General features: G+C 38.8%; 1 protein-coding gene across 13 annotated transcripts in view, besides 2 other annotated features; it reads left to right on the forward strand.

Moving 5' to 3' along the window:
- The window catches only part of CDIN1 (CDAN1 interacting nuclease 1), a 230,619-nt gene that overhangs the window by 169,522 nt on the left and 47,162 nt on the right, over positions 1-13,935 (forward strand). The window lies entirely within an intron of this gene.
- Positions 3,886-4,454: an enhancer, noted in NCBI's record as "OCT4-NANOG hESC enhancer chr15:37045234-37045802 (GRCh37/hg19 assembly coordinates)". NCBI's record gives its function as "activates a minimal SCP1, AML or CMV promoter by ChIP-STARR-seq in primed H9 embryonic stem cells {active_cell/tissue: H9 hESC(primed)}" and the evidence as "EXISTENCE:reporter gene assay evidence [ECO:0000049][PMID:30033119]".
- Positions 8,547-8,596: an enhancer, noted in NCBI's record as "active region_9194". NCBI's record gives its function as "activates an Ori minimal core promoter by ATAC-STARR-seq in GM12878 lymphoblastoid cells {active_cell/tissue: GM12878}" and the evidence as "EXISTENCE:reporter gene assay evidence [ECO:0000049][PMID:35858748]".

The following is a 13,935-nucleotide window of genomic DNA, read 5'->3' on the forward strand; positions in this document are numbered from 1 at the left end:
GACAACTGGAATTTAGTGGTTTTGTTATTGGTTGTCTTAGACCATTAACTTGGATTTCTGTTCTTAATTTTAATGTATACGATTTCAAGCAAGCAGCATATGATACTGATATAAACATGGCATTTGTATACTGCATTATAAATGAATTTTTAGCTTGTGATTAAGACAAACCAGATGACCTAAAGCAAACAATGTGTTTGTATTGCTCTGGTGACTTAAAAATAATGCCCTGCCCTGGATTCACCTGCAGTGCCTTTTGTCCTTTAGGGAACTGGAGATATGTGGCCCATGTAGCATTTAAGCTCACCAAGGTTTCTGAAGTTTCATTATTTTTATAGATTTCTCAAATAATTCCACTGTCTGTGGAAATTATTCATCCTACACTAGATAAATGCTGTCTTATGAAGTCTGTGGCACGATTCAGACTGAACTCAGCTGGCTGTCTGCCGCTAGATCGGATCTGAACATTAGGAATGGGATGCTATTGCATCAGTAATTGAACAGTGGTTCTTCTTTTAAAAAGCAAAAACAAAAAAGTACATCTGTGTTTTTGTCAAGGCCAGCTTATTAGCTCCCAAACAACCATAGAGAGGTGGCCTACCTGTCCAAGTGTTCTTTTTTCACGCTGATTTTCTCCTATCTATGTTATTTTCACCAGGCCATTGAGTGAAGGGAGGACACAGGTTCTGAAGGAGCAGCAAGTCTGAGAAGGAAAGGGCATTGGTGCTGGGAGGTGGGAGACAGGGCACCAACCAGGTCCCCCGACCTTTTGGCCACCTCAGCAGAATCCTGCCTTTTAGCAGAGCCAGTATACCTTCTGCAAATGCATTGTGTTGCCGTAATGAAAATGCCTCTGTTTGAAACTCCAGACCCAGTCACCTGAGCACTTCACTTCTTCCTGAGCAGGATCCAGAGCCTAGAAAAGAATTATGTGTTGGTTCGCGGTGGTGGTGTGGTGGGGGCACAGGAGAGGGGAAGAAGAAACAAATCCAAACCAAAAAACCTATGTGGGTATGACTGTCATCTTAAAATTCTTAGGGAACTACATTTTTGTATGTTCCTTATGGCAAAAAAAACTGTTGAGACCATTAGGAACCTCCCTCATTCGTCCCATGAAACAGTGCAATTTTACTCTATAAATCCAAATGCTAATTATTAACAACAGCTGTAGTAATCCATTGCATTTATTCAGCACCTCCATATACATTATTTCGTTTGAGCTAACCACTCCTCTAGGAAACTGAAAGCATTTTAATGGATAGGAAAGCAAAGGCTCAGAAAGATAAAGTGACTTGTCCAATATTAATTCATCAGCGTCAGAGCCAGGATTTCAGCATTTACTATGTACCAGGCATCCAAGGATGGGTTTGATTCCTTCCCTCAAGGTGCTTACAGTCTCTGATGTGTGGGATGGAGGGTGACGTTGCTGATAGCTCAATACTTAACGTACAGCAGGAAGGAGCACTGAGGCAGTGGCTTGAGCTCAGTCTGTGGGAGGAGACCTGTTTTGATCCAGCTGCCCTCATTCCAAGTAAGGGCAGTTTTAAGAATTAGCTGTTTGGCCAATTGAAAAATATCTTCCCATTTTAACTCACTGAATTGCCAGTTCCGAAACTTTTTAAGATAAAGCTATACTATAATTATAAAAGAGGCCAACCTTATAACTCAACTGCTGAAAAGGGAGACAAAGACCTACAAAACTTATTAGGAAAAGCCATGGAGATCAGCAGGTGGAGGTGTGGGGCTAGTTGGGTGGACAACTCAGAGGTAAAAAAGCAAACAAACAAAATTATAGGTAGGACAAGAAAAAGCATCTGTCTTTTTGCTAATGTGAACTGCCAAAACCTCCCCTTTTATTTTTTATATTTTTGTATTGAAACATTAAAATAAATGAACAACCTTCTAACATTTAGACGGTACTGGGTAAGGGAAGCCCAGTCTGATTGATTTAGGTATTTTAAATTTTAGATCAATATCCACAAAATGAATATTTTTACTACTTAACTAAGTGTTCTTTATGTTTGCTTTTACCAAGAACTTCATTCCATTTTTATTGATAAAAGCATATATATATGCTTATTTTATATATATATATATATATATATATATATATGGCACTAATAGAGTTAAAAATAGGCATACATATGGTTGAGAAGAGATTTAATTCATGTCTTAATGCCATGGAAATTCCTAGGTATTCCTGAAAACAATGTTCTAAAAGCACCCAGTGTTGCCTAGGTGGAAGACTCTAAAGTTAATGTGAGAGCCAGGCACAGCAGCTCACGCCTATAATACCAAAACTTTAGGAGGCCAAGGTGTGTGGATCACTTGAGGCCAGGAACTTGAGACCAGCCTGGGCAACATGGTGAGACCCCATCCCTACTAAAAATATAAAAAAAAAATTGCTATTTGCAACCATTGTGGAAGACAGTACAGTGTGGCGATTACTCAATGATCTAGAAGTAGAAATACCATTTGACCCAGCAATCTTATTACTGGGTATATAACCAAAGGAATGTTAATCATTCTGTTATAAAGATACATGCACGTGTATGTTCATTGCAGCACTATTCACAATAGCAAAGACGTGGAATCAACCCAAATGCCCATCAATGATACAGTGAATAAAGAAAATGTGGTACATATACACCATGGAATACTATGCAGCCATAAAAAGGAACAAGATCATGTCCTTCGCAGGGTCATGGATGGAGCTGGAAGCCATTATGCTCAGCAAACTAACGCAGGAACAGAAAACCAAACACTGCATGTTGTCACTTGTAAGTGGCTGCTGAACAATGAAAACACATAGACACATGGGTGGGGGAACAACACACACTGGAGCCTGTTGGGGGTGCAGGGGAGGGAGAGCATCAGGAAGAATAGCTAATGGATGCTGGGCTTAATACTTAGGTGATTGGTCGATAGGTGCAGCAAACCACCATGGCACACGTTTACCTATGTAACAAACCTGCACATCCTGTACATGTACCCCAGAACTCGAAATAAAAGTTGATGAATAAAAATGATTTACCTTCATTTAAATAGCTTAGATTCTGTTGCCTATAAATATAGGGCACTAAATTTTTATTTATGCAGGATAACTGTCCTGGTTATGCCAAAGATATATTAAATACAATGTTTAATTGATGACTCAAAACATACCTTAAGTTTATCTTTCTAGAACTTTGTATTTCAGAAGATAAAGTAGATGAGGCTGCATCTGTCTGCACTGACTTTCTCCTCCCAATGACAAAGAACGCTATCTGTTTTGAAGTGACTTTTAATTTGTTGAATATTGGTGGTGAGTGGAAAATGAATGTAAATGAAATATCATATTGCTGGAGCAGGTACAAGGGATGTGAATGAAAGCTTCCTGTTTTATGGGCTGCTGAGAGGTGATAGCTCTTAAAAAGCAGTCTGCTAAGTGATCCCAAGTTAATGCAAATTAACAGTTGTTTTCTTTCAGAACTGTGTGACTGAATAAACATTTACCATTTGTTTCATTTCTACTCATCTCTTGAAACAGTTGCTACAGGTCTTAATAGTAAGACTCGAAACATATAATGTATTAGCCTTGGCACATCAAAATATTGTTCATCTTCCAAACTTGAGATATTCCAGTTTGGCTTCTCACTGAGTTTATAATGTTCTGAGGGTATGTATCTAAAAACGCATCTTACTAATCTCCTGGAATTGATTTTTTTAAAAAAGTCCCTGTAACTTGTCACTATTCCCAGCTTAAACATGGTCTGTCAATTGTGAGATTGATGGGCATTGTGGTACATTTCAATCTTAGGAGGGGCCTGAATAAGAAATTTAAACTATTAAATAGTGTTTTGGAAGAGAGACGTATGATATTTGTGCAAAATAATAATGAGGTTAAAAATGGAATTTCAGCCTTAGCTGAAAGAGCAATGCCTCCTGCTTTTTTGTGCAAGCCTTTCGCATGATTCAATGTGATCACCTTTTCTCATAGCACCACTGCGGCAACTGTGAGGGGTAAAGAATTTCAGCAATTGAACAACAGTATCAAATAAATTCATTTTAGGAACTCTCCTAAAGGTTTATTCCAATCGTTAACATTCCTGGAGCTGGTGGTGTCTGCCAAGTGCTCAGCGCTAGTTCACAGGCAGCAAATTTAGCATGACAAAGTTGCTCCCATTTTGCAAATGGGAAACCTGGAGCCCCAAACGGAGCCTCTCACAGTAAACTGCAGAATGGAGATGAGATCCTAGAGATACAGTATAAGGGATTATCTGGGATCATGTAGATGGTTTGCAGTTGCCTTTGTATGGCTACCGGGTTAGATCATTCTTGGCAAGTTTGGTGAATTAGTATCCTATTCCTGAGTCCCATTTCAATACCTAGCTTGGAACTCTTCCACTCCCTGAAAACTTCCATTGAAATTTTTATCAATGGTATTTGCATAGACAAAATGGAATCAAACTATTGACATGTACTTTTTTATTAAAAAAAAAAAAAAGCAAATTTATGTGAATGGTTTGTCAGTGGAGATAATTTAGCCAAAGGCACCTGTGTTCTCTAAGGACTCTGCCTGAAAAGACTTTTAGGGGGAGCTTGGTGAATTTTTTGTCTTTAAAATAAAGCTGTTTTTGAGGTATAAGAGAAGCTTGGTTTTTGAAATGGCACAATGAATAACAAAAGCCCCTTTTCACCCCCCAGAAAAGGACTAAAAAGAACATTTGTTAGACTCTTGGGGAAGAATTGTGCTGTTAACATGAAAGTCTAGATACAAGAAAAGGGAAAATTGGAAGAAGAGGAGGAGCAGGTAATACTGGAGAAATGCTGGACCCTGAAAGCAACTTGTTTTGCAAAGATGATTACACTCAAGTTTGGGTTCAAAACGTAAGAAAGCATGCTTATAGTGAATAAAACAGCTAGAAGATAAAACTTGGCAGAATATCCTGCCGTTTTGTACAGACTTATGCGTGGGTATGCATGTGTTTCTCTCTCCATTCCTTCCTCTTCTCCCACAGTGGCCCTCTAAGTATATTCTGGCAGACAAGTGGCCAATAACCAGTCTTCATAATGGAGGTCAGGTGATTTGTATTTCTGGATTTTTAGAATAGACAGGGCTTATCATTGATTTGAAGATGGAAAGTACACTATTTCACTACCCCCTGTCATTTAGTGGATGTGGTTCTTGAGTATGTCCAGAATTATAAGGCTGTTAATGTGTCTTGAGCCCTGACCTAAACTGTAGATGAGAAGGCTCTTTAAATATTAAAATGGAGAACAAACAGGATTGCTTATGCAGTAGGAAAGTGCACAGTATTCAGAAGTCAGGCCTAATCTTTTTATGGGGCAGCTATTGGGCATGCTACATTTCTGTCCAAAATATAACTCTTTTGAAAACTCCCTCTTTAACAAAAATACTAAGTTGATGGTCTCTCTTAAAAAAAAAAAAAAAAAAAAGGCCAAGTAAGGGAATATATAACTTCAGAGTTATCAAATATATTTATCCCCCTTACATGTCAAAGTTTAAGTGCTGTGTTTTGTATATACAGTCATCATGATATTTGAAAAGGCCATAAAGAAAAACAATTATATAATTGTTTTTAAAGAACGCAGAAGCAAGGATAAAAAGGCCTTTAGAAACTAGAGAACAGTATTAACAATTATAGTACCTGAAGTCAAGCTGCAAAATTCTGTCCTAATTATTGGGGATGATTAATTAAGCGTAAAGTTACACGCCTTGAAAGAATTTCAGAATTATTTTTCTTTGATTTTTCTACCAAAAAAAAGGCCCACCCCATCATTTTCTATTTTAGCAGTTTCCACAACTTAAACATTAAATTCTTATTGTTTGATTTCTGTTATATTAGTAGTGTGTGTTTTGCAATTCTAATCTTCACGTTTTTCTTTCTTTATCACTGAAGTAGGCCTTTTGAAGCTGGGAAATTTTTCATAGCAATATTGACAGTGTTCACATTTGCATGATGACAGCCAAGGAATGGAGCAGTAATTTTTGAAATTGCAGAAGTATTTAGAACACTGATAAAAGCTGAAATATATTTTTGATGGATTGAAGTTAAGCATACATGATTTTTCCTGCTGTCAAAAGGCTCTGAATTTAGTGAATATTTGCCTGCTGTGAGAATGCAAGATTAACATCACAACCATCACCCGGGCACCCAAACCCTGCAATTTAATAGCTTTTTAGGTTCTTTCCTTTTTCTAAACAGCAATTAATCTCATTTTAGTACAATTTTCTCGTTTCTGAAGTCGCTCATTGAATCGCTGTTTTGTTCATATTTGGCTTCAGCTCCTCTGCATAGTCATTAAAGTCCCAATTAATGTCACCTTTAGCTGAAGAGTACTCATTTTTATTGAGAAAATGACAGTTGCTGCCATGAGTAGTGCAGTGTAATATACATTAATTGCCCTGTAACACTGGTAATTACGAGTTTTTCAAGCCTCTCAGTAAACTGTCATGCCTAGACAAGACTGTGCTAAAATAGATTACTCATTAGGGAGACCTGTCCTATTTTCTGGTGAGTTCTTAGTGTTGGTTTAAAAAAAAAAAAAATCTTGAGCTTGAACAAATAGTTGCCAAGAGCAATTTCCTACAACAATATCCTCGTGTTGGGTTTTTCAGCCATCACTTAAGATTGCGGTCAGCAAACAGACAGGGTGCAGTGGACGCTACAGATGTTGAATCTTGAGCCTTTATTTATGTGGATCACAAGAGCGAACTTAAGGGCGTTTTATTCAGGGTTGAATATAGAATGTAACTGAAGAGTGCTCCTAGAGGGTGTTGTGTTAAAACAGGTTCATTCCCTGGTATTTCGAGAATATGGGAGAGAACCAGTGTGCCACACTTACCAGGTCTTTATCACCTCTGTGCTGAGTCCAGCAAGGAGAAGCGTTGATGCCTTTATTCAACAAATTCCTATGAGGACTGGAGTAGATAAATAAGTTTGACCCCGAACATGGTGAGCTTTATTGGTTTATATGGTTTTAAGGTACAGTTTTAAAAAGGGAGTGGGGAATCCTTAGTTGAAGAGAACTGTAATTATCTTAAATGTGAAATTACCAGCCCACAATCTTGTTTTAAAATATATGGTTGCTGACTGGCACATTTGGCAGTAGGTTTTTGTTTTTGTTTTTGTTTTCAAATCATATATCTAATTTCAGTGTGGAGATTATTTTTCAACTCCCTGTTTCTCTCATATTTCATATGTTGGTGTTTTAACACAAAATAGTGAACTTTAAAGCCCATAGTTGCTTAGAACTGACAAAAAGAAAACCTTTGTTATATCCTTGCCTAAAGCAGGTGTTATAACAATCTGCTCTTTCCCTCTCTCTCTAAATGAATTTTGTCACAGCCTTTCAAGTTTCCTTGTGGTGATGAGCTAATGAAAGTAGATAGTACAATTTGTGCTGACCAGGTAGCAAGTGCCAGCTCACAGCTGAGGATAGTTTAAAAAAATAAATAAAATATAGCATCATATCACTGATTTACCCAATACACAGCATTAATAGTGAGAGACCTTGGTGTGTTTATCTGTTTGTATTGGTGTGCATTTATCGAATTGTTTATGACAAGACTAATTGGGGTAATTGTAGACACTGAAATTACCTGTCAGCTATATGTAACCACACTCCCTTTCTTTCTGACAAATGATGACAACTGAGGGACCCCGTAGCATTACTCATGATGGCTTTTCGAGTGGTAATAAGGACAATAGGGGCCCTGGCTAATTTGACATGGACAGCCTTCACAACAAGAAGCCAGCTAAATGACTTGTCAGGAGGGGAGAGAAGTCAGAAAAGTAATGGAGTCCCCCATGGCGCTCTGACAGGGAGATGAGGCAATTTCAACGGAAAGTGAAAAGGCTTCAGTTTGTCAAGTACTTAGAACAATCAGAGAACAGCTAGAGGCTGGAACCTGACAATAAATTTGTGAACCATGGTAGCAGTTTCATATAGGTCAGTTACTTCATAATGGCTGTGCAGTACTCAGAGGGTCCTGTTCTCATCACATACTTCACGTCTACCAACCAGAGCTTTGTCACCTTAAATTTGTGCTCTGTTTTACGTCGTGGGAATAACAGTTAGGGTTATGGAGGCCCAGGAATGGAAAGATGGTGTGAGTTGCAGTTGCTAGCCTGTTGAAGATTAAACAAAAATCCAGCCATGTAATATGGTGATGGCAGCCCTTACATGAGGGTAGTATTAACTCTTCACAGTAGTGAGTTGTAGCCACTTGGGTCGAGACCTCATGAACTCTTTTCTCGCTTGCTATCAATCCGATACAAAATGCAGTAGTCCCTTTCTAGTCCGAGGTTTTGCTTTCCAAGGTTTCAGTTACCTGTGGTCAACCACCATCTCAAAATATAAATGGGAAATTCCAGAAATAGACCACTGATAAGTTTTAAGTTGAGCACCGTTCTGAGGAGCGTGATGAAACCTCACAGCAGCCCGCTCCATCCTGCCCACTCATGAGTCATCCCCTTGCCCAGCACATCCATGCTGTGTACACTACCCGCCTGTTAGCAGCCACATCTTCTGCTCCTGACATCTAGACATCCACCTCATCTTGGCTCGGTGACCCAGGGTCATCTGAAGCAGATGATCCTCCTCCTGACCTACTGTCAGGAGAGCAGTAGTAGCCTAATGCTATGCCACCAGGCCTGAGTCATTCACCTCACTTCATCTCATCATGTGGACATTTTATCATCTCAAATCATCACAGGAAGAGAGTGAGTATAGAACAATAAGATAGTTTTGAGAAAGAGAGAGAGACCACATTCATGTAACTTTTATTATAGTATATTGTCATAATGGTTCTTTTTTTATTGTTACTCTCTTATATGCCTAATTTATAAATTAAACTTTATTATATGTATGTATGTATAGGAAAAAACATAGTACATATAGCGTCTGGTACTATCATGGTTTTAGGCATCTAGTGGGTGTCTTAGAATGTATCCCCACTGGGTACAAGTGGGCTACTGTATAATACTACTATTCATAGGCTAAAACTCCTACCAGCACCTTTTTCTCTGATTGTATCAATGTGATACTAATCTCAGAGCAGGCTAGAAAACTGGTATATAAGGGGCCTCCCTCCCCTACACCCTCTACCTCCAAAGCTGTAAGTAGCTTCTGGCCTTGATAGTAGCATGTGGCTACAGTGTGAAATAGTCTAGTGATATTTCAACAGTTTTACTGAGCTTCTGGTTTTGTTTCATTGGGGACAATCTTTTCATTGTAAAAAAGCAAGTTTCTAAACTGGACGAGCCACTTTGCCTCTCTGTGCCTCAGTTTCCTCATTCATAAGATGAGGAAAGGCAAGCTGATTAAATTTATGCAGAAGTTGATTGCATGATCTTGATGCATGTACAAGTTAGAATATTTTTAAGCAAGTCAATGTATTTTATGCACCTGCGACAGTCTTTTTCTTCACCACCATCACTCCAGATCTTTGTAAAGGCAATAACACCCTTTACAAAGAAATATATCACCTTTGCACTTAATGGAATTCTTCTCGGAAGATTTCTGAGCATTATTTAAGCTATGAAATCTATCTTTTTAATGTTGTCTGAAGAAGAAAGTGTGTATTCAGTACACTTATTCATACTATGTTATTTGTAAGTTTTGACCTTCATGTGGAGAAAGATTCCTTTCTAAACATAATACAGTATAATATCTGTTAAACTTCTCAGTATAACTTAAAACATACAGTTTCACAAATATTGTTAAACCTAACCAAATAGGTTGCCTAATGCCCTAAGCAACAGTTCAGAAGGCTTAGAAACCCATCCAGAAAAATTATGAAATTGTCTTTGCTTTTGCATTTCTCTGGGGGTGAGAGTGGTTGGGATAGGGAGTTCCTCTTATGCCCAGTAAAAGCAGCTGCCCACACATCCACTTTGTTCAGTGGTTTTTGAGTTGCCTGAGGGTTTCAGTGTTTGTCCAAGGTTTTCATCGAGAGCAGAATAAGCATTCCACCCCACCAAGATACATCGAGGGGTGCAGGACCCCAGCAGTAGGCTCAGGGACATCAGGAGCAATTGAGGAGTCACAGAAGGAGTAAGAGGAGAGGCGCCTCTTCTTGTCTGTGCTCCCAAGTGAACAAAGGAGAATTTGGCTTAAAATGCCCCAGGCCATGGGTTCTGTACTACAAATATGTCCTCTTCCCCTGAAAATGCAACCTGCTGACAGGAATTCTCCATTTTGAATTATTAGGTCTTGCAGGTCCATATCTGGGATGAGTCTTTCCCTGCATCAGCCCCACTTTGGAGATATTCTTTATTTTCCTCACAATTGCTCAGATAAATATGTTTTTTCTTGTGGAAGAAAGTCTTTTAATTTCTAAAAAAAAAACTCATTTAAAATAAATTGTGCTTTTTTTGTAATACATTAATTCTAAAAATCTAAAAGTTCCAGATAAACAAAAGTAACATCATTATCTTCCCAATTCATTTACATTGACACTATTAGCATTGTTAACAATAGTCTGTTCTTATACCCCTATAAAGAACTACCTGAGGCTGGGTAATTTATAAAGAAAAGTTTAATTGACTCACAGTTCCACAGGTTATACAGAAGGCATGACTGGGGAGGCTTCCAGAAACTTACAATCATGGTGGAAGGGCAAAGCAGAAGCAAGCACATCTTCACATGGCAGCAGGAGAGAGCAAACGGGGAAGTGCTACACATTTTTAAACAACCAGATCTTGTGAGAACTCTATCAGAAGACAGCACTAGGGGAATGGTGCTGAACCATTAGGAACTACCCCATGATCCAGGCACCTCCCACCAGGCCCCACCTCCAACAATTGAGAACACAATTCAACATGAGATTTGGGTGGGGACATACAGCCAAATCATATCAGGCATCACACTGTATATACTGTAGAGTACTTATGTGTTTTTTACCTCAGAGGATGTTGAGATTGTTTTTCATATCTATAAATATAGCTCTATGTGACCCTTTGTAGTAGGTTCCTAATGCTTGCATTATATGGCAATAGAATTTTTTTAACCAGTCACCTGTAATGGGTATTTAGGAGGTCAACATAAATAGCACTGTAATGAACATCCTCATCATGAAATGAGTTAAGACATGGAAAGTACAATAGCCTCAGTCAACATTTTCATTCTCTTCTGTCTTGTAAAATCTGTGTTATAAATGCATAAAGCTGTGGCACCTGTGTTTTCTGCACCATGATGTGACTTTTGTGATAATTCTGTTTTTTCCTTTTAATATTCAACTAAAAGAACTGTTTTCATGATGCCAAGACATTTTCATTTATCCAGTTGTCTAGTAACCTAAAACAAACAGAAACAAAGGTAGCTTGCACATATGCGTTTGTTTTCTACCATCCAGTTCTTAGGAACTTTTAATTCATCTCTAAAGTTATTTTAGAGGCAAAGAAAGGTTATGTGTTGTTCTTCAAAAAGTATGCATTTGTCTCTTCCACAGAAATTTTAAGTGTTTATTCATTTCCCAACTCCATCCCGCACCTGAGGCCTCCATCAGCATCCAGAATAAACATTTTCTCCTGTGAAGGACATAAGGAGCATCTAAGAAATGGTGGTGGTGGTGCTGGTGGTGGTGGTGGTTGAACACTTCATTAAATCACTTTTCATATCCATACATATTTCTTTAGGATAATATCCAGATAATAGACTTTCCAAGTCAAAGGGATCACAGAGTTTTAAGGCCATGGTTACATATTTGTAAACTGCCTGTCACAGAATGATTGTAGCAATTTCTTCTTCTGCAAGTAGTGTGTAAGTATGCCCATTTCTCAGCACCCTGGCCCAAGTCAGATGCCATCACTTCATGGATAGTTTTTACACTCTCATTGTTACTTTCCTTCCCCTTGTTTTCATTCAGAATGCTTGCATTTTACTTTGAGATTTTTTGCCATCGGTCATTTTATAAGATACGCCTTCACCGGCACATCTAAAAGCTAAGGCACTTAACAATTAGAAAGTTGTATGATAGAGACCTTCAGTCTCCAGTTATAATTCCAGCTCTTTCTGACCCTCAAGCTCTGGAACAGGTCACACTTTTCTCTGCTCAGGACACTAGATATTTCAGATTATTTCAAGCAGTCTCCTGCCCACTTTCCTGTGCCTTTGTTATAGCTGTCACTGTAGATTGTTTCCGTTGTGCATATAATTGCTTCATTGCTAGTAACTGGCTTAATGTTGTCACAGACCTTATTGGCTCTTCTTACCTCAGATTTACATATAGCATCCCAAGGCTTTCTTTAGGGCATTTATCATTTTTCCTCCAAATGATCTGGTGACAGTATACAGCTATTCAAGTTTTCATCAGCCAGCAGATGATACGGTCTTTCTTCTTTGCTGCCACAAGCCAGAAAAGAGAGGAAATCAGGGGAAATGCTTTCATTACTGCACTTCAAGGAGGCGCTGTCATGGAGTCAGGGAGGGAAGTTTCCCAAAGTTCACTGAACTGACACTGGAAGAAGCTCTTGTGGGCAGCCCCATCCCTTTGTGACACCGCAACGAAAGCACTTCATCATCTCTTGCCGATCCTGCTTTCATGCAGACAGCGAGGCATCTTCTAATGCCAGTTGCCTTTCCTGTTTACTTCTTGCTCCAGGAAAAAGTCTGAGCAATTTTTTAGGACATTAACTATTACTGTTGCATACTGATATGCAAGATTTTGTTATACTTTCTTGAAAAGGCCCATTATTTTCATTTGGAAAGGGAAAAAATAAAATAGAGATTGCCACCAATTGCAAATGACTAACACTAATAAATTTAATGGGTCTAATAGCAGCTGTGACTGTGGAGTTCCTTGTATACTGAAATGGGGTTATAAACGGTGTTAAGCTCACAGGCTGGCCCCGGAAGTCTATTGCAGGCAGAATGTGGCAATTCTAGAATATCAGTAGGACCAACCTTGGTTTCCTATCATATCTAGAGAGTAAATTAAAAATGTTCAAACTCTAAATGAAAGGATTTGAAGCCTTAGGATTCACTGGGCAAGCTAAACTCAGTAGGAAGGCTGCCCTTGTGAGCACTCCTAGACTTCATGCCTTTCACTTCTTTTTCCCTCTGTTTCTAACCTCTCCTATTCTTTAAACTTGGAACTTTTCCTTTTGTTACACGCAGGCACTTTCTTGGTAAGGAATCCCTGAGAAAAGCTTCTTGAGGGGGCAGTGAGCTTTTTTGGTCACCCACATATTGCTGAAGTAGTTAAGGCCTACAAGATTTATTTATAAAAATGGCTATTCTGTTCTGATTTATCTACAAGTTTTTGCTTAAGTGACTTATAGATGACTTTTGCCGAGGCACCTCTGCCCCATATGTTGTTTTGTTTTGTTTGTTTGTTTGTTTGTTTGTTTTATTATACTTTAAGTTCTAGGGTACATGTGCACAACGTGCAGGTTAGTTACATACGTATACATGTGCCATGTTGGTGTGCTGCACCCATTAACTCGTCATTTACATTAGGTATATCTCCTAATGCTATCCCTCCCCACTCCCACCACCCCACGACAGGCCCCGGTGTGTGATGTTGCACTTTCTGGTCCAAGTGTTTTCATTGTTCAATTCCCACCTAAGAGTGAGAACATGCGGTGTTTGGATATTTGTCCCTGCGATATTTTGCTGAGAATGGTGGTTTCCAGCTTCATCCATGTCCCTACAAAGGACATGAACTCATCCTTTTTTATGGCTGCATAGTATTCCATGGTGTATATGTGCCACATTTTCTTAATCCAGTCTATCATTGATGGACATTTGGGTTGGTTCCAAGTCTTTGCTATTGTGAATAGTGCCGCAATAAACATACGTGTGCATGTGTCTTTATAGCAGCATGATTTATAATCCTTTGGGTATATACCCAGTAATGGGATGGCTGGGTCAAATGGTATTTCTAGTTCTAGATCCCTGAGGAATCACCACGCTGACTTCCACAAT

The sequence above is a fragment of the Homo sapiens genome, chromosome 15 (assembly GCF_000001405.40).
Source record: "Homo sapiens chromosome 15, GRCh38.p14 Primary Assembly".
Taxonomy (NCBI): domain Eukaryota; kingdom Metazoa; phylum Chordata; class Mammalia; order Primates; family Hominidae; genus Homo; species Homo sapiens.